Genomic DNA, 21854 nt, shown 5'->3' with positions numbered 1-21854 from the left:
TAGACCGGAGCTGTTCCTATTCGGCCATCTTGGCTGCTCCCTCATAGGTAAATTCTTGACGGAAGGTGACATTTGGAGGAAGGGAAGAACTCTAGGGAAGATTCTCATTTTTGTGGCTTTTAGTTTGAGGGCAATCCCTATCTGAGCCATTCAAGGTGCCTAGTAGCTGATTTAAAAACCACCAGAGGACAGAGTTCAGGACAATTCAAGCCACTGGAAAGGTTAGAGGGAAATTACACAAAGAAAAGAAGATAAGATAGGGAGCCCCAGATTCTTTGTATAAACTCTACCCAAATCTCCACCTGACCCCTGAACTACATATGCATAAAGAAGACTAAGCAGCCTAGCAAAAGCTAAAAAAACTAAAATGCAATGTGAGCTGCTACCTAAACATAGAATTTACATTTTAAATCGAATAGTGTTAATTATATATTAAAGAAAAAAATAATAATAATCAGAAGAATATAACACAATCTAGGGTTTCAAGAATATGATATTCATAATAGCCAGGATATAATTTAGAAATACTTGACATTTGAAGAAACAGAAAAGTGAAACTAATTCTTAAGATAAAAGACAATGAGCAAAAAGTGATCCCAAGCAAGACAATCCAGATTTTAAAATTCACATACAGATGTTTAAAGCAAGCATAATAAAAATGTCCAGCATAAAGGAAAATATGCTCATAATAAATAAAATTATGGAAATCTTAGCAGAGAAATATAAGCTATAAAAAATGCATGCCCACACCTATAATCCCAGCATTTCAGGAGGCCAAGGTGGGAGGATTGCTTGAGGCCAGGAATTCAAGACCAGCCTGGGCAACATAGCAAGACACTATGTCTATAAAACACATTTTGAATTAGCCATCCATGGTGGTACACACTTATAATCCTAGCTCCTTGGGAAGCTGAGGCAGGAGGATCATTTGAGCCCAGGAGCTCAAAGCTGCAGTGAGCTATGATCCTGCCACTGTACTCCAGCCTGGGTAATAAAAATAAGACAATGTCTCTTTAAAAAAAAAATAGTCAAATGGAAATTCTGGAACTGAAAATCATAATATCTGAATTTAAAAATTTAATGTATGAGCATAAGAACAGATGGGATCTGATGACAGTGGAAAAAGTCAAACCACTTGAAAATATATCGATACAAAATACCCAATCTAAATACAAACAACAAAGATTTTTTTTAACTAACAGATACTGAGGCAACTGTGGGATAAAATCATATGTCTAATATATAATTGTATCCCATAAGGAAAAGAGAGAGAGGAAGTGGTAGACAAAATATTTTTAAAATAATAATACATTGAAAATGTCCCAAACTTGGTGAAATTAACATACTCAACATGTTCAGTGCTGCCCAAGTTGATATTTACAAAGAAAATCATGCTCACGTAAAACAAAGCCAAACTGCTGAAAACCAAATAAAAGGAAAAAAAAAAAGCAATAAAAGTGGCCAAAGAAAAATGACATATTATACAAAAGGAAATGATGATTTTAATAATTGCTTCTCAGCAGAAAAAAATGAAAGCCAAGCAAAAATAGAAAAAATATCTTTACAGAATAAATGCCCCTTTTCTGTAACAAAGTTATTTTAAGAAACAAAAGAAATCCCTAAATCTACATTTTATTCTCATTGAAATTTGAGAGAACACAGCATCTATAAAACAAAAGCACGTGATAATGGGAACAAAAGTAAACCTTACAACAACTGCACAAGCGATTTCAACACATGACCAATGAGCTGCTGAGGAAACATGTCCATAAACAGGCACAGAAATGCAATAAACCATGGGATGGGACTAAGTAACTTCAGAGAGGAAGTTGAACAATCCAAAGACATAGCCCCTACTAAAGCAGAGCTAGAGGGATAAACAGAAAATAATTAGAAAGAAAACATTAAGACCCTGATAGTGTTCTCTGAATGATGGAATTAGAACCCTAAATTAGGATCTCCTGAGATTTTTAAAGAAAGCAAACATGACTTTTTTAACTTAAAAGTTCAAGAGGAAGTGAAAAGGAGAAAGGTTGCTTACTTTTGAGAATAAGTTTAGAAATCTTGTAAATTAAATGGAAGACATATCTCATACCACAGAACAAACATACACATAGAAGCCATGATGAAAAAGATAGAAGACTTAAAACAGTCAATGTAGAAATCATAATATTCAAATACGAGTCTCAGCGGGATAAAAGGAAGAAGAAAGTTAAATGATGACGAAAGAAATAAGAAAACTCCCTTGATATAGATAAAAAATTTGAGATATGATAAAAATTTCTATGTTTCAATGAGAAACAAGAGCAAGAAGTAAGGAGTCTAGGTACCAGACAACATCAAACTACTGTACTTGCTGGAACCATCAACTCAAACTTTACATGAGATAAAAATGATATTCTACCTTGTTTAAGCCATTGAATTATATGGCGTCTCTTTTTATAGCAGCCTAGTCTATATTCTAACGAATAAAGATGATAGAAAATTAAAATAATGAAACAAATCTAGACTTAATTGAATTTTATACACAGGGAGAGAGAAAATATATACCCCACTGTGGCAGACTACAAATGGCCATAAATTCTTCACAATAGCTCCCATAAAAAGGTACAATCTATTTCCTCACTTCTTGAAACTCAGTTGGCCTAATTCTTGTTGGGGCCAAGAGGATACAACACAAATGACACCATGAGTGATGTGAGCTGAGGCCTCCAGAGATCTTTCAGCTTTGTTTTAATCTCTTGCTACTAGGGATCCTTCTTTAAACTACCCAGAGCTATCATCCTGGAAGATAAGAGACTAGAAAGAAGTCCCACCTGTCCCAGATGTCCCAGCTGGAACGTCAGACATAGGAATAAAACTTATCTTGCACATCCAAACTAAGCTGAGCTGCCCAGCAACTATGAGAAATAATGATTCTACTGTTTTAAGTTACTACGTTTTGGAATAATTTGTTATTTAGGAAAAGCTAATTGGTATACCTAGCAGTAGAAAATGTGCATTATTTTATGTCATTAGAACACTTACAAAAATTGAATATTGTACTGGATTATTTCCATAAATGGCTACCAACAATTTTTTCCCACCCTATATATGCATGCTACTCTTACCTATGAATATGGACTGGCCTTATGACTTCCTTACAGAATGTGTCCTCTCCTTAAAAAGTTAAAAATAGGCCAAGCACAATGGCTCACACCTGTAATACCAGCACTTTGGGAGGCCAAGGCAGGCAGATCACGAGGTCAAGAGATCGAGACCATCCTGGCCAACATGGTGAAACCCCGCCTCTACTAAAAATACAAAAATTAGCTGGGTGTGGTGGCGCCCGCCCATAGTCCCAGCTACTCAGGAAGCTGAGGCAGGAGAATCACTTGAACCCAGGAGGCAGAGGTTGCAGTGAGCTGAGATCGCACCATTGCACTCTGGCCTGGCCACACAGCAAGACTCCATCTCAAAAAAAAAAAAAAATTAAAAATAGAACTAACATATAATCCAGTAATCTTACTGTTAGGTATGTACAAAAAAAGGAAATCAGTATATTAAAAAGATATCTGCACTCCCATGTTTATTGCACCACAATTCAAAAATAACTAAGATTTAGAAGCAATGTAAGTGTCCATCAACAGACAAATGAATAAAGAAAATGTAGTACACATACATAATGGAGTACTATTCAGCCATACAAAAAGAATGAGATCCTGTCATTTGCAACTGGAGGTCACTACATTAAGTGAAATAAGCCAGGCACAGAAAGACAAACTTCACATGTTCTCACTTATTTGTGGGAGCTAAAAATCAAAACAAACTCATGGAGATAGAGCGCAGAATGATGGTTATCAGAGGCTGCAAATAGTAGTAGGGGGTGGAGTGCAGTGGCAATGGTTAATGAGTACAAAAATATAATTAGAAAGAATGAGTAAGATCTAGTATTTGATAGCACAACAGGGCAACTACAGTCAACAATCATTTATTGTACATTTTAAAAAAACTTAAAAAGACCCACAGACCCTCTGAAGGAAGCAGACAGCTCCTGCAGGACCTGGGAGACACCCCAAATACTGTGAGTGCCCCAACTGCGGAAGCAGGAAAGGGAGACCCTCCTTTCCCGAAAACACACTCTCCACTGGAGAAACAGAAGGTCTGTTTGTTGGAAAAGTTTCTGACCTTACTTGGAACTGAGTCCATTTAGAGAGCCAAGTGAAATATAAGAGTAGAAGAAGCAGCAGAAAAGCCCTGGGAGCTCACTGGGTCCTGAAGCAGGCCATTCCTGCCTGGAAACACAGGGATCCATTGGGAGGACAGACAGAGGACCAGGGGGTAAAACTCCACAGGGAAAAGCAGTTCTAGCTGAACTTTGTAACAATTTGAACAGGGCAAGAAACCTCCTGGCCAGAACTCAGGGGAGGGCACAAATCTGGTGTGCAGACTCCATAGGTCTGGGAAGAACCAAGCCCTTTTCTTTCGCAGCTGTGAAGGCGGGTAGCTTGGAGCAAGTTTTCAAGCCCAACTCGCCCACCGTCTGGAAACAGACTTGGGGCTATTGCAGGGGAGGTTGGGAGCAACACGGGCCCTTCATTTTGGGTGGGAGCTGGGTGAGCCCTGTGACTGCCCACTTGGCCGGACAACTCTGACAACCTGCATGACTCAGCAGAGGCAGCCATAACCCTCCTAGGTACACAACTCCAGTGACCTGGGAATCTCACCCCATTCCCCACAGCAGCCACAGCAAGACTCACCCAAGGAGTCAGACCTCAGCCACACCTAGCCCTGCCCCCACCTTATGGTCCTTCCCTACCCACCCTGGTAGGGGAAGACAAAGGGCACATAATCTTGGGAGTTCTAGGGCCACAGCCACCGCCTCTTCCTCTCCATACTACCACAGCTGATGCTCTCTGGAAAGTGCCACCTCTCAGCAGGAGGCCAACCAGCACAAAAATAGAGCATTAAACCACCATATCACAGGACTCTGTGCAAACAACCCCCAATAGCAGCCCAGAGCCAGGTAGACTCACTGGGTAGCTAGACCCAGAAGAGAGACAACAATCACTGCAGTTTGGCTCACAGGAAGCCACATCCATAGGAAAAGGGGGAGAGTACTACATCAAGGGAACACCCCATGGGACAAAAGAATTTGAACAACAGCCTTCAGCCCTAGACCTTCCCTAAGACAGAGCCTATCCAAATGAGAAGGAACCAGAAAACCAACCCTGGAAATATGACAAAACAAGGCTCTTTAACATTCCCCACAAAAATCATAATACTTCATCAGCAATGGACCCAAACCAAGAAGAAATCCCGGCTTTACCTGAAAAAGAATTCCGGAGGTTAGTTATTAAGGGAGGCACCAGAGAAAGGTGAAGCTCAATGCAAGGAAATCCAAAAAATGATACAACAAGTGAAGGGAGAAATACTCAAGAAAATAGAAAGCTTAAAGAAAAAAACAATCAACAATTCAGGAAACTCTGGACACACTTTTAGAAATATGAAATGCTCTGGAAAGTCTCAGCAATAGAACTGAACAAGTAGAAGAAAGAAATTCAGAGCTCAAAGACACAGTCGTCAAATTAACCCAATTCAACAAAGATAAAAAAAAAGAATTAAAAAAAAAAAAAAAGACTCCAAGAAATCTGAGATTATGTTAAATGACCAAACCTAAGAATAAACGATTTTCCTGAGGAAGAAGAGAATTCTAAAATCTTAGAAAAAATATTTGGAGGAATCATCAAGGAAAACTTCCCCAGCCTTGCTAAAGATCTAGACATCTAAATACAAGAAGCACAAGGAACACCTGGGAAATTCATCACAAAAAGATCTTCACCTAGGCACATTGTCATCAGGTTATCCAAAGTTAAGATGAAGGAAAGAATCTTAAGAGCTGTGAGACAGAAGCGCCAAGTAACCTATAAAGGAAAACCTATCAGATTAACAGCAGATTTCTCAGCAGAAACTCTACAAGCTAGAAGGGATTGGGGCCCGATCTTCAGCCTCCTTAAACAAAACAATCATCAGCCAAGAATTTTGTATCTAGCGAAACTAAGCATTATATATGAAGGAGAGATACAGTCTTTTTCAGACAAACAAATGGTGAGAGAATTCGCCATTACCAAGCCACCACTACAAGAACTGCTAAAATGAGCTCTGAATCTTGAAACAAATCCTGGAAACACATCAAAACAGAACCTCTTTAAAGCATAAATTCACACAGGATCTATAAAACATAAATACAAGTTAAAAAGCAAAAGCAAAAAACAAATAAACAAGAACCCAAAGTACACAGGCAACAAAGAGCACGATGAATGCAACAGTACCTCACATTTCATTACTAACATTGGACTTAAATGCTCCACTTAAAGACACAGAACTGCAGAATGGATAAGAACTCACTAACCAACTATCTGATGCCTTCAGGAGACTCGCTAACACATAAGGACTCGCATAAACTTAAAGTAAATGGGTGGAAAAAGGCATTTCATGCAAATGGACACCAAAAGCAAGCAGGGATAGCTATTCTTACATCAGACAAACAAACTTTAAAGCAACAGCAGCCAAAGGAGACAAAGAAGGATATTTTGTAATGGTGAAAGGCCTTGTCCAACAGGAAAATATCACAATCCTAAACATTTATGCACCTAACACTGGAGGTCCCAAATTTATAAAACAATTACTAATAGACCTAAGACATGAGATAGACAGCAACACAGTAATAGTGGAGGACTTAAGTACTCCACTGACAGTACAAGACAGGCCATCAAGACAGAAAGTCAACAAAGAAACAGTGGATTTAAACTATACCTTAGAACAAATGGACTTAACAGATGTATACAGAACATTTCATCCAACAACCACAGAATACACATTCTATTCAACAGCGCATGGAACTTTCTCCAGGATAGACCATATGATAGGCCATAAAATGAGCCTCAATAAATTTAAGAAAATTGACAGTATATCAAGCACTCTCTCAGACCACAGTGGAATAAAATTGGATATCAACTCCAAAAGGAACCTTCAAAACCATGCAAATACATGGAAATTAAATAACCTGCTCCTGAATGAGCATTGGGTCAAAAACAAAATCAAGATGGAAATTTAAAAATTCTTCGAACTGAATGACAATAATGACACAACCTACCAAAACCTGTGGGATACAGCAAAGGCAGTGCTAACAGGAAAGTTCATAGCCCTAAAAGTGTACCTCAAAAACACTGAAAAAGCACAAACTGACACTCTAAGGTCACACCTCAAGGAACTAGAGAAACAAGAACAAACCAAACCCAAACCCAGCAGAAGAAAGGAAACAACCAAGATCAGAGCAGAACTAAATGAAATTGAAATAAAAACAATACAAAAGATAAATGAAACAAAAAGCTGGTTCTTTGAAAGATAAATAAAACTGATCGACCATTAACAAGACTAAATGAGAAAAGAAGAGAGAAAATCCAAAAAACCTCACTAAGAAATAAAACAGGAGATATTACAACTGACACCACTGAAATACAAAAGATAATTCAAGGCTACTATGAACACTTTTATGCACATAAACTAGAAAACCTAGAAGAGATGGATACATTCCTGGAAAAATACAACCCTCCTAGCTTAAATCAGGAAGAATTAGATGCTCTGAACAGACCAATAACAAGCAGTGAGGTTGAAATGGTAATTTAAAAATTACCAACAAAAAAAAGGGCCAGGACCAGATGGATTCACAGCAGAATTCTACCAGACGTTCAAAGAAGAATTGGTACCAATCCTTTTGACACTATTCCTTAAGATAGAGAAAGAAGGAACCCTCCCTAATTCATTCTATGAAGCCAGCATCACCCCAATACCAAAACCAGGTAAAGACATAACTAAAAAAGAAAACTACAGACCAATATCCCTGATGAACATAGATGCTAAAATCCTTAACAAAATACTAGCTAACTGAATCCAACAATATAACAAAAAGATAGTCCACCATGATCAACTGGGTTTCATACCAGGGATGCAGGGATGGTTTAATATACCCAAGTCAATAAATGTGATACACAACATAAAAAGAATTAAAAACAAAAATCACACAATCATCTCAGTAGATGCAGAAAAATCATTCAACAAAATCCAGCATCCCTTAAAACTCTCAGCAAAACGGCATACAAGGGACATACCATAATGTAATAAAAGCCATCTATGACAACCCAATGCCAACATAATACTGAATGGAGAAAAGGTGAAAGCATTCCCTCTGAGAACTGGAACAAGACAAGGATGCCCATTCTCACCACTCCTCCTCAACATAGTATTGAAAGTCCTAGCAAGAGCTATCAGACAAGAGAAAGAAATAAAAGACACCCAAATCAGTAAAGAAGTAGTCAAACTGTCACTGTTTGCTGACAATCATTTACCTTGAAAACCCTAAAGACACCTCCAGAAAGCTCCTAGAACTGATAAAAGAATTCAGCAAAGTTTCTGGATACAAGATTAATGTACACAAATCAGTAACTCTTCTATACACCAACAGCAACCAAGCGGAAAATCAAATCAAGTACTCAACTCCTTTTACAATAGCTGAAAAAAAAAAAAAACTTAAGAATATACCTAGCCAAGGAGTTGAAAGACATCTACAAGGAAAACTACAAAACATTGCTGAAATAAATCATAGATGACACAAACATATGGAAACACATCCCATGCTCATGGATGGGTGGAATCAATATTGTGAAAATGACCATACTGCCAAAAGCAATCTACAAATTCAATGCAATCCCCATTAAAATACCACCATAATTCTTCACAGAACTAGAAAAAACAATCCTAAAATTCATATGGAACCAAAACAGAGCCCCCATAGCCAAAGTAAGACTAAGCAAAAAGAAGAAATCTGAAGGCATCACACTACCTGATTTCAAACTATACTATAAGGCCATAGTCACCAAAACAGCATGGTACTGGTATAAAAACAGGCACACTGACAATGGAACAGAAAAGAGAACCCAGAAATAAACCCAAATACTTACAGCCAACTGATCTTCGACAAAGCAAACAAAAACATAAAGTGGGGAAAGGACACCCTATTCAACAAATGGTGCTGGGATAATTGGCTAAACACATGTAGGAGAATGAAACAGGATCCTCATCTCTCACCTTATACATAAATCAACTTAAGGTGGGTTAAGGACTTAAACCTAAGACATAAAACTATAAAAATTCTAGAAGATAACATTGGAAAACCCCTTCTAGACATTGGCTTAGGCAAGGATTTCATGACCAGGAACCCAAAAGCAAATGCAATAAAAATGAAAATAAATATCTGGGACCTAATTAAACTAAAAAGCTTTTGCACGGCAAAAGGAACAGTCAGCAGAGTAATCAGACAACCCACAGAGTGGAAGAAAATCTTCACAATCCATACATCTGACAAAGGACTAACACCTAATATCTATGACGAACTCAAACAAATCAATAAGAAAAAAACAAAGTATCCCATCAAAAAGTGGGCTAAGAACGTGAATAGACAATTCTCAAAAGAAGATATACAAATGGCTAACAAACATATGAAAAAATGCTCAACATCATGAATGATCAGGGAAATGCAAATCAAAACCACAATGCCATACCACCTTGCTCCTGCACGAATGCCCATAATCAAAAAATCAAAAAACAGTAGATGTTGGTGTGGATGCGGTGATCAGAGAACACTTCTACACTGCTGGTGGGAACACAAACTAGTACAGCCACTATGGAAAACGGTGTAGAGATTCCTTAAAGAACTAACAGTAGAACTACCATTTGATCCAGCAATCCCACTACTGGGTATCTACCCAGAGAAAATGAAGTCATTATTCAAAAAAGATACTTGCACATGCATGTTTATAGCAGCACAATTCACAACTGCAAAATCATGGAACCAACCCAAATGCCCATCAATCAACAAGTGGATAAAGAAACTGTGGTATATTTATATGATGGAATACTACTCAGCCATAAAAAGGAATGAATTAATAGCATTTGCAGTGACCTGGATGAGATTGGAGACTATTATTCTAAGTGATGTAACTCAGGAATGGAAAACCAAACATCGGATGTTCTCACTGTAGGATATAATAAATTCCTCTTCAAAGGTTTTAGCCTGTAAATTGTTAAGTACAATGATTTCTGAGATCCTCTCCAAAGAACCAATGTATCAGGATGTTCAGCTCCCGTGTTCTTTGTCCGCCATTTTAAAGTTTAACTTCTTCATTCTCCTCGCCCCTAGTTTCAGTAAACAACCTTTTCCACCAGTTCTAATCAGTAGTTCACATATGTTTCCCTGGTCACCTGCTACGTCTTGAGTCACCCCTGATCACCTGCTCCGTCCTGAGTCACCCTGGTCACCTGCTCTGACCTGAATTATCTGTTCTGTAGCTGCCCTTCCTGCCAAACTACTGACTCTGCCCCTCCAGTTCATACTCCTGCTCTCTTTAAAATAGCCAATCGGAATTAGCTTAGACTGTGCGGTCCAACCCTAGCCAATAGGGGAATAACACAGCAGTAGGGGCTACCTGCACCAGGAATAAGAACCCCTTCCCCTCCCTTGTTCAGGTGTGCTCCTGCCATTGCTCCATCCGCAAGTCACACCCTTCTATAGAAGTAAAATTACCTTGCTGAGAAAATTAAATTTATGTTCGAGTGCTGTTTCTTTGGCGGCACCAAATATTTATTTATAACATCAATGATATGTGGGAGGTAAGCTGTGAGGATGCAAAGACATAAGAATGATACAATAGACTTTGGGGACTTGAGGGCAAGAGTGGGAGGTGGGCGAGGGATAAAAGACTACAAATATGGTGCAGTGTATACTGCTTGGATGATGGGTGCACCAAAATCTCACAAATCACTGCTAAAGAACTTACTCATGTAACCAAATACCACCTGGACCCCAATAACTTATGGAAAAATAAATTTAAAAATAAATAAATGACAAAAACAACTAAGAAAGTATAATTGGATTATCTATAACACAAAGAAATGAAAAGTGCTTGAGGAGATGGATACTCATTTACCCTGATGTGATTATTATGCATTGTATGCTTGTATCAAAATATCTCATGTATCCCATAAATATATACACCTACTATGTACCCACAGAAATAAAAATAAATTTTTTTTTAATAAAATAAGACGGCAGGCAAAAATCTAAAATAATCCCATGACCTTCACCCTTAGGGTCATGTTATATATAATAATCCAGCCCCTCTGAGTGTGGGTGGGATCTGTGGCTTGCTTCTGGCCAATAGAATATGGCAAAGTGATGGGATGCCACTCCCTTTATTAGGTTCATTATATAGCAAGAGTGAGAGGATGTCACTCCTATGATCAAGTTACATTATATTAGAACTCTGTCTTAGCAGACAAGAGAGACTCTTGTGAGCTAGCCAGGCATGGTGGCTTATGCCTATAATCCCAAAAATTTGAGAGGCTGAGGCAGGAGGATCATTTGAGGCCAGGAATCCAAGACCAGCCTGGGCAACATAGCAAGAGCTTGGTGTTACAAAAAACTTAAAAAACATAAAACTTAGCAGGGTGTGATGGTGCATGCCTGTAGTCCTAGATACCTGGGAGGGTGAGGCGGGAGGATGGCTTGAGCCCAGGAGTTCAGGCTGTAGTGAGCTAGGGTCATGCCACTGCACTCCAACCTAGGTGACAGAGTGAGACCCTGTAGAAGAAGAAAGAAGGAAGAGGAGGAGGAGGAAGAGGAAGAAGAGGAGGAGGAGGAGGAAAGGTGCTATGATACGAACAATCTATGGAAAAGACCATGTGGCAGGAAACTGCAGACTGCCCCTAGAAGTTAAGTGCCTCAGCCCTAAACTGCAAGGAACTGAAGTTTATCACATCCACTTGAGCTTGGAAGAGGATTCTCAAGACATATAATGGAATGGAGCCCAGCCAACACTTTGATAATAGCCTGGTGAGCATAAGTTGATTACAGCATAGGACACAGCTAAGCCATGCTCAGATGCCGAACCCACTGAAACTATGAGATAATATAAATTGTTTAAGCTGCTAAATTTGTGGTAACTTGCTATGCAGCAATAGAAAACTAATGCTACAAAATAGTACATTTTATATTCACTATTTTATGTGGTACTCTTGTTTTTTACAAAATTTATGTTATCTAGTTCTTGGGTCATTCAGGTGTATACATACTTGTACGCTTGCACATACTTGTACACTTAACTCGAGCCATTCACTGAAATGGGTGATATAATGCTAGATGGTTGTTAAGAAATTAACATCTAGCTGTCTCTACCCCAATTTCCCAGTTTGGGAAATAATCGTTAGATAAAACAAAGGCTCTGCCTTTTCTGATACCACACTCCACAGATATTTTCTCACATCTTTTTAAACATTTTGCAATCACATGTTGTTTATAGGAAGTTTACAGGGTATGCAATGATTAAAATTTTTAAGTGACTTGATAAGTTGCAAAAGAAGGATAATATTTAAGGTCAGTGAGTAGCAAGACAATCTAAAGTTTCTATAATATCTGGTACTCTGTTAATTATAGAGCAAAGATTCCCTTACAGAATCCTTTCATAAACAGCATGCTAGAGTCTATCCCCAGTGGTTATAGCATTCGATATGTTTTTCAGGAGACAGTTATGCCAGGGTGATTTGAATGGATAGATGTGCTGTTTTGCCTGCTTGTAGAATTCAGCCCAGTCTTTGGTCTCTCCTTCTCTCCCTCCTCCACCTCTCCTTCTCTATTCTTCTGCACTAGAGCCTAAGGCTGCCTCACCAACATGCGTCATTTTTTCCAGAGGCTACATCTTTTTTTTTTTTTTTTTTTTTTTGAGACGGAGTTTTGCTCTGTTGCCCAGGCTGGCGTGCAGTGGTGTGGTCTCGGCTCACTGCAGCCTCCGCCTCCTGGGTTCACGCCAGTCTTCTGCCTCAGTCTCTGGAGTGGCTGGGACTGCAGGCACGTGCCACCATGCCCAGCTAATTTTTGTATTTTTGGTAGAGACAGGGTTTTGCCGTGTTGGCCAGGCTAGTCTCGAACTCCTGACCTCAAGTGATCTGTCCGCCTCAGCCTCCCGAAGTGCTGGTATTACAGGCGTAAGCCACCGCATCCTGCCCAGACATACGAAATTTGACAGGTATTGTGTACCCTTTGGATCTTTAGGAATTAATTTTTGCCTCTGTCACTCAGCTTTGCATATTTTGAAATGGAGATAAGTATAGGGAGGTCATGGAAGGAAAATTGCCAGAATTCCCAAACCATGTAACACTCATTGAGAATTCCAGATTCATTATATCTAAAGGGCAAGTGAAGGAAACAGTAGCGTGAACTGGGTATAACTCCTTGGTTCTTAACTAGTACATTCTTAATTTGTGAGACCAAAATGTTGATAAACAATAATTTAAGATTGTACAGTACTCTAAACATCTACAAAGGTCTAGATATTATCAGTATCACTAGTTTTTATTTCTGCCAGTAGCTCCCTTTTAGGTTACATTGTTGTCCTCTTTCCAGTGTGGCATCTGTCATTGGTTTTTTACCATGGCAAGTTCATTAAAAAGCTTGCTCCACTGTTGTCTTCAAGTAATGCCCATAAGGAGATGGAAGATATCTGAGACAATTAAGTCTTTAGCTTCTAGACAAGAGAAATAACGTTGCATTAAATTCCAAGTTTCTTTCTGCTAGACTTGAATGTGTCTAGCCACTCTAATTTATGGGGGCTTTTGGTTTTTTTCCTATTGTACTTTGTATGTAGAATTGTTTTGAAATATTAAGCATATTTGCTTTGAATTTGAAATCTTTCTTAATTTTGTATTTATCCTTTGAATAAAACGTAAATCCAAAAAAAAAGAAATTAACATGTAGCAAAAGAAAAAAGAATATTCAAAAGCCAAAATGTAATAACAGCTTACCTGTATTCCTCTAATTAGATCACACAAACCAGAGTCAGACACAGAGTTTACAATTTCTGAAGAAGTTTTTCGTTGCATCTTAAAATGTTTACACCTTTTTAAGACAAATAGAGTAGCTATTGTTTTACACATTTGGGTTATGAAAATTTTGAAAAATTTGAAATTCAAATAGGTTAAAGGGAATTATCCAAAGTCATATAATCAGTAAGTTGCTGTTCTGACTCCTGATATGATGCTCTTTCCTCCATGGTATTGCCTGTAGTTGTTTAAACCATGGTAATTTTCATAATATTGACATAAATATGCCTGGGTTTGACATTTCATTCTCTGAACTTTGATGAGAAGAGTCCATCAACAAGAAAGACATTATCTCAGGAAGAATTTTAGTACACACACACACAGAGACACATACACACACACAGACATATATACCCTATAATCACATACGTAATAATGTTTCTCTATATATGACTATCAGAGCAAGTATTAATCAAATATTGATGCATAGAGAGAGTGGGTGTGTTACCTGTACTTGATCCAAATCTTCTTTTATTTTAAACTCTTTTTCTGGAGACATCTTCCTGTAACATAAAATGTTTTAAAATGCATCATGATATTTTTAAATGCATCACTGCTTTGCTTTCTTGAGGAGGACTTTTTAAACGATTTTAAAATAATGAAGTTTTTTTAAAAAAATTCATATTTCTAAGAGACATAAAATTCATACAGGCTAAATTACAAACAACTGAATAACATTTCTCAAACTAACTTCTCACTGGTATGATTAAAATGTGAAAAGACTGATAGTCAAAGCATATTGGTCATTTTTTCTTCTCGGGTCATTTTTTGTTAAAGGTCAAAGCCATTTGTCCCATGAATTTCTTTTCAGGATTTGTGGAATTCTATAAAGTTTGACTTCATAGTTTCCTTTTAAAATTATTTTAATATTAGGGTTTAACCAGGCAAATTCAAATGCAATAATTATAATACTAAAGAAAATATTTACTTAATAATGTCACTTTATAATAATACACATACACAAAAAATAAATAACTTTTTATAAGAATAATACAATTAATAAGTACAGTAGAAAAGAACAGCCAACACTGTGGAGTTAACAAATTACAAAGCATGAGCTAGACCATCAAAGAAACAATGTAAATGCTTTTTTCCTAAAATTAAAGATTTAATTCTGTTCACCTATTTCTGAATGTATTGTGGTTCAATCTCCTCTTCCAGTCCATTTTTGGTTCTTTGTTCTTCCCTTTTTAGCTTTATCCCATAATCATATACTGGTATGCTTATAAAAACATGTATTTGCCAATTTTATGTTTTTAAAAGATTATTCATAAGTTATGTTTATTTGACTTTAAATTGTTTGTATAAAAAGAAAATATAAATTAACAAGGAAAAAAAGATTAACATGTATCTTTATGTCTTACTTTTCTGAATCCTCAGATTTTCCTTTGTCTTTTTTCTTCACTGTTTTCACAGCTTTCTTTGTTCGATTATTTGTAGGCTTAGTTTTCTGTATAATTTTACATAAGCCAGAAATAAAGGGTTAAAAACACAATAAGTTATAGAAAGATATGATAATATACATTATTAATGTACATTTTACTCTGAGAGTCACTATACAACGTTTCAGGAAAAATTATCTGCATAGAAGCAAAATAAAATGACACATCTGGTCTGTTTGTAATAGTGCTTTACGTGGTGTAAGTTGTATATAACCTAATACATATTAAAACATTTAAATTTTTCTGACAATATCAATCAATTATGTTATAATGTGGTATATGCCTTCCTGAAAATCACCTCACTATGCAAAAACATGCAATAAAACCTGTAGGATGTATGGGGGAAATGGGTTAGGTGCACATCTTGCAAAAACCTTGTTGGTGATATATTTTTAAAAATAAAAACCTAAGAAAAACAGTACTATAGTACACAGTCATTAAGAATACATAAATACCATGAGAAATATAGACTTTTATTTTGAGAAAGACCTGAAACTTGTTTGTGAAAGTGAGCATTGAATAGGTTGCAACTTGTGAGTTATTGCACAGTGGAAGGAAATTATCTGAAATTAAAATGTCATACCACCAGATGTGAGCTGGTGTGGCACACTATATACAGGTGAACCAAGGTAGATGGAGAAAGTTGCTTTCTGCTTTTTTTTTTTTTTTTTTTTGAGATGGGAGTCTCACTCTGTTGTCCAGGCTGGAATGCAGTGGCATGATCTCGGCTCACTGCAAGCTCTGCCTCCTGGGTTCAAGCAATTCTCCTGTCTCAGCCTCCTCAGTAGCTGGGACTACAGGGGCACGCCACCACGCCCGGCTAATTTTTGTATTTTTAGTAGAGACAGGATTTCACCATATTGATCAGGCTGGTCTTGAACTCCTGACCTCTGGTGATCCGCCCGCCTCGGCCTCCCAAAGTGCTGGGATTACAGGCACGAGACACTGCACCCGGCCTTTCTGCTTTCACTCATTGTTTTTGCAGATGAAATTGCTTAAGCATATGTGAAATTCAAACTATGCTCAAATCGTTCAATTATGTTGGAACAAGTTTGCATTTCAAAACAAATATTATAGCAGAACTAATCAGGTTTTAAAGTATTCTTGAGCTGCTGTGTAGTAGAAGATCATTTTATAAAAGAAAGTAAGGGAAAAATTAACAATTAGATTATTAAAAATTTTAGGACGTTTGGACAAGATAGCTGACTAGAAGCATCTCATATGCACCATTCTCACAGAGCAGAAACAAAAGGGGCTAGTGAACATTGACCCTGTAGGCCGATCATCTGAGAAACCACGTTACTATCCATCAAGGCAGCAGGGTAACAGAGAGCAGAGAGGAGTGAGGTGAGGCACCAGCATGTCTGGGCTCAGTGCAGAGCCAGGAGAACCTTTCAATATGGGAAAGGCTGAGTAAGTGAACCATTTTCCAACATGTGAAAGGGTGAGAGCCCCTAGGGGGATTCAGCTCTCCACAGGGACCTGTGCAAGACTGGGAGTGGGAGAATCCCCCTGGGCCCCCACCAACTCCACCACATTTCTAGACTGAGGTAGGAGCCACTGGGACATTTTGTGGGGGCAACTCTTGAGTCCACGGTGACCTCTACAAGCCTTGGGCCCAAGGGCAGACCAGCACCAATGTCACTGCCTCAGTAAAGACCACAGTTGCAGTGCCTGGGAGCTGTATGATTTATCCATGTATTCTTGCCAGATGAGGCTCAAGGCCAGCTTCTGGACTAGCAGGCCCACTTTGGGCCGAACTCAGCTGGCCATTCCACCCACCCTCACCACTGGTAGCCAGGCGGGTAAGGCTTGCTAGAGCTTCCAGCCCAGCAGTCCTGCTCTTGTGTGAACTCAGCTGGAGGGTGTAGCCACCTGTTTTCCCAGGAAATACCCAGAGAGCTGAGCAGGTGACCCCACCCACCCCTCCCATTGATACCCATATGGGCAACACCTCCTAGAGCTTCCAGCCCAGTGGCCATGTTTCTGTGTAAACTCAGTGAGAGGGTGCACCTTCATGTTGTTCCAGGAAGCATCTAGACTATAGAGCAGGCATCCTCGCCCACCCCCACTGCTGGTAGCCAGGTGAGCCATGCCTGCTAGAGCTTCTAGCTCAGTGGTCCTACTTCTGCCTGAATTTGCCTCCTGCTACCCTGGAAACACCCAGAAGGCAGGGCGAGCAACTCTATCCACCCCTGTGGCTCTCTAAAATAAATCAATCAGACAAAAACAAAGAAAAAAGAATGAAAAAAAAAAAACTCAGAAATTTGGGGTTAGGTAGAGGTCAAATCTATGACTGATTGGTTCCTGAAAGAGGCGGGGAAAAAGCAAGCAACCTGGAAAACATATTTTGCTATATCATTGATGAACACTTACCCAACCTCGCTAGAGAGGACAACATTCAAATCCGGGAAATATACAGAGCCCCTGAAAGGTATTACATAAGAAGATAATCCCCAAGACACATAATCGTCAGATTTTCAAAGGTCAACATGAAAGAAAAAATGATAAAGGCAACTAGAGAGAATGTGCAGGTCACCTACAAAAAGAACCCCACCCATCAGGCTAAAAGTGGGCCTTTCAGCAGAAACCCTACAAGCCAGAAGAGACTGGGTTGGGGGTAGCCTATATTCAGCATTCCTAAAGAAAAAAATTTCCAGCCACGAATTTCATATCCAGCCAAACTGAATGTCATAAGTGGAAGAGAAATAAGATCTTTTCAGGCAATCAAATGCTAACAACATGATAGCGAGATCAAACCCATACATATCAATATTAACAGAGAATGCAAATGGGCTAAATGCCCAAATTAAAAGGTACAGAGTGGCAAGCTGGAAAAGGAAGCAAGACCCAATGGGTATGCTATCTTCAAGAGATCCATCTCACAGGCAATGACAATCATAGGCTCAAAATTAAAAGACAGAGAAAAATTTACCATGCACATGGAAAACAGGAAAAAGCAGGAGTTGCAAACCTAATTTCAGGCAAAATGGGACTTTAAGCAAATAAAGATCAAAAAAGGTAAAGATGGGCAGTACATATTGGTAAAGGGTTCAATTCTGCAAGAAGATTTAACTATTCTAAACATATACACACCCAACATAGGACCGCCCAGATTGATACCCAGGGTAAGCAAGTTCTTAGGGACCTACAAAGAGACTTAGACCCACACACAATAATAGTGGGAGATTGCTATTAAACAGAAGTCCCCACTGACAGTATTAGACCATTGAGGCAGAAAATAAACAAAGATATTCAGCACCTAAACTCAACACTTGACTAGTGGACAAATAGACACTACACAAGTCTCCACCCAAAAACAACAGAATATACATTCTTCTCATCACGACATAGCACATACTCCAAAAAATCTAACTGGCAATAAAATAATCCTTAGCAAGTTAAAAAAAAATCAAAATCATACCAACCACACTCTCAGACTACAGCAAAATAAAAATAGAAACCAAGACTAAGAAAATCACTCAAAACCATACAATTATGCGGAAATTAAACAACCTCCTCCTGAATGACATTTGGGTAAACAATGAAATTAAGGCAGAAGTTAGGAAGTTCTTTGAAACTAATGAGAACAAAGATACAACATATCAGAAAATCTAGTACACAACTAAGGCAGTGTTAAGAGGGAAGTTTATAACACTAAATGCCCAACATGAAAAAGTTAGAAAGATCTAAAATTAACAACCTAACATCACAACTAGAAGAAGAAGAGTAAACCAACCTCAAGGCAAGCAAAAGGCAAGAAGTACCAAAATCAGAATTGAACTGAAGAAATTGAGATACAAAAAAAATACAAAAGATCAACAGATCCAGAAATTGGTTTTATAAAAAAAAATAATAAGATAGACCACTAGCTACACAAATAAAAACAGAGAGAAGATCCTGATAAACACAATTAGAGATGACAAAGCAGATGTTACCACTGACACCACAGAAATACAAATCACCATCAGAAACTACTATGATCGCCTCTATGCACACAAACCAGAAAATCTATACTAGAAATGAGTACATCAAACTAGAAATGGATAAATTCCTGGACACATACAACCACCCAAAAATGATCCAGGAAGAAACTGAATCCCTGAGCAGACCAATAACAATTTCCAAAATTGAATTAGTAACAAAAAGCTTACCAAAAAAAAAGCCCAGGACCAGAGAGATTCACAGCCAAATTCTACCAGATATATAAAGAAGCGCTGGTGCCATTCCTACTAAATGATTGCTACTAAATTCCTACTAAAATTATTCAAAAAAACTGAGGAGGAGGGACTCCTCCCTAACTCATTCTATGAGGCCAGCATCATCCTGATACCAAAACTTGGCAGAGACACAACAAATAAAGAAAACTTCAGGCCAATATCTTGATGAACATAGATGCAAAAATCTCCTCAACAAAATACTAGCAAACTGCTTCCAGAAGCACATCAAAAACGTAATCCGCCATGATCAAATAGGCTCTATCCCTGGGATGCAAAGTTGATTCAACATAGGCAAATCAATAAATCTGATTCACCAAATAAATAAAACTAAAAACCAAAACCATAGTATTATCTCAACAGAGGCAGAAAAGACTTTCAATAAAATTCAACTCTCTTCATGTTAAAAACCTTCAATAAACTAGGCATTGAAGGAACATGCATCAAAATAATAAAAGCTATCTATGACAAAACCACAGCCAACATCATATTGAATAGGCAAAAGCTGAAAGCATTTCCCTTGAAAACCAGCACAAGACAAAGATGCCCTCTCTCACCATTTCTATCCAACACAATATTAGAAGTCCTGGCAAGAGCAATCGGGCAAGGGAAAGCAATAAAGGGCATCCAGATAGGAAGAGAGGAAGTGAAACTACCCCTGTTTGATGGCATGATTCTATATCTAGAAAACTCCATAGGCTTGGCCCAAAATCTCCTTCAGCTGATGAACAACGTCAGCAAAGTTTCAGGGTACGAAGTCCATATACAAAATTAGTAGCACTCCTATACAACAACATCCAAGCCAAGAGCCAAATCAGGAATACAATCCCATTCTCAACTGCCACAAAAAGAATAAAATATCTAGGAATATAGCTAACTAGGGAGGTGAAAGATCTCCACAATGAGAACTTTAAAACACTGCTCAAAGAAATCAGATGACACAAAAAAATGGGAAAACATTCCATGCTCATGGATAGGGAGACTCAATATTGTTAAAATGGTCATACTGCCCAAAGTGATTTAAAGATTCAATGCTATTCCTATCAAACTACCAATGTCGTTCTTCACAGAAATAGAAAAAACTATTCTAAAATGCGTAAGGAACCAAAAAAGAGTTGGAATAGCCAAGGCAATCCTAAGCAAAAAGAATAAAGTTAGAGGCATCACATACCCAACTTAAAACTATACTAAAGGGCTACAGTAACCAAAACAGCATGGTACAGGTGCAAAAACAGACACCTAGGCCAATGGAACAGAATAGAGAAGCCAGAAATAAGGCTGCACACCTAAAACTATCTGATCTTCAATAAACCTGACAAAAACAAGCAATGAAGAAAGGACTCCCCATTCAAAAAATGAGGCTGGAATAACTGGCCAGCCATATGCAGAAGACTGAAACTGTACCCCTACCTTACACCACATTCAAAAATCAACTTAAAATCAATTAAAGACTTAAATGAAAACCCAAAACTATAAAAACTCTGGAAGATAACCTAGGAAATACCATTCTGGACATAGGACTTGGCAAAGATTTCATGATAAAGATGCCAAAAGCCATTTCGACAAAAACAAAAATTAACAAATGAGATCCAAACTAAAGAGCTTCTGCATAACAAAAGAAACTATCAACAGAGTAAACAGGCAACCTAGAGATTGGGAGAAAATATTTGTAAACTATGCATCTGACAAAGGTGTTATATCCAGAATCTATAAGGAACTTAAACAAATTTACAAGGAAAAAATGACTCCATTAAAAAGGGGACAAAGGACATGAATGGACACTTTTCAAAAGAAGACATACATGTAGCCAACAAACATACAAAAAATGCACAACATCAGTAATCATTAGAGAAGTGCAAACCAAAACTATAATAAAATACCATCTCATACCAGTCAGAATGCCAATTATTAAAAAGTCAAAAAGTAACAGATGCCAGTGAGGTTGAGGAGAAAAGGGAAGACTTATGCACTGCTGGTGGGAGTGTAAATTAGTTCAGCCATTGTAGAAAGCAGTGTAGTGATTCCTCAAAGAACTTAAAAAAGAATAACTATTTGACCCAGCAATCTCATTGTTGGGTATATACCCAAAGGAATATATAAATCATTCTACCATGAAGACACATGCACATATATGTTTATTGCAGCACTATTCACAATAGCAAATACAGGGAGTCAACCTAAATGCCCAACAACGGTGGGCTGGATAAAGAAAATGTGATATGTA

At 38.1% G+C, this 21854-nt stretch overlaps 1 protein-coding gene across 45 annotated transcripts in view; it reads right to left on the bottom strand.

Annotated features, from left to right (window-relative positions):
• CCDC7 (coiled-coil domain containing 7) overlaps window positions 1-21854 on the bottom strand; it is a 439541-nt gene that overhangs the window by 324144 nt on the left and 93543 nt on the right. For 44 of the 45 annotated variants that reach the window (NR_109826.2, XM_047425743.1, XM_047425742.1 and 41 more), the window contains 2 exons: window positions 15336-15421; window positions 14420-14474 (listed from right to left, as the gene is read on the bottom strand). Coding sequence is in view for 44 of the 45 variants with exons in the window: in XM_047425743.1 (XP_047281699.1) it covers window positions 14420-14474; window positions 15336-15421 (141 nt within the window). In the remaining variant the exon portion in view is untranslated. Of the gene's footprint in view, window positions 1-13893; window positions 13988-14419; window positions 14475-15335; window positions 15422-21854 lie in introns of those variants that run through there. The other variant, XM_017016648.1, reaches the window with a different exon arrangement.

This window comes from Homo sapiens, chromosome 10, assembly GCF_000001405.40.
Source record: "Homo sapiens chromosome 10, GRCh38.p14 Primary Assembly".
In the NCBI taxonomy this organism is placed as follows: Eukaryota; Metazoa; Chordata; class Mammalia; order Primates; family Hominidae; genus Homo; species Homo sapiens.
Note: the sequence above shows the minus strand (reverse complement) of the source record. Positions and strands in the feature narration are given on the sequence as shown.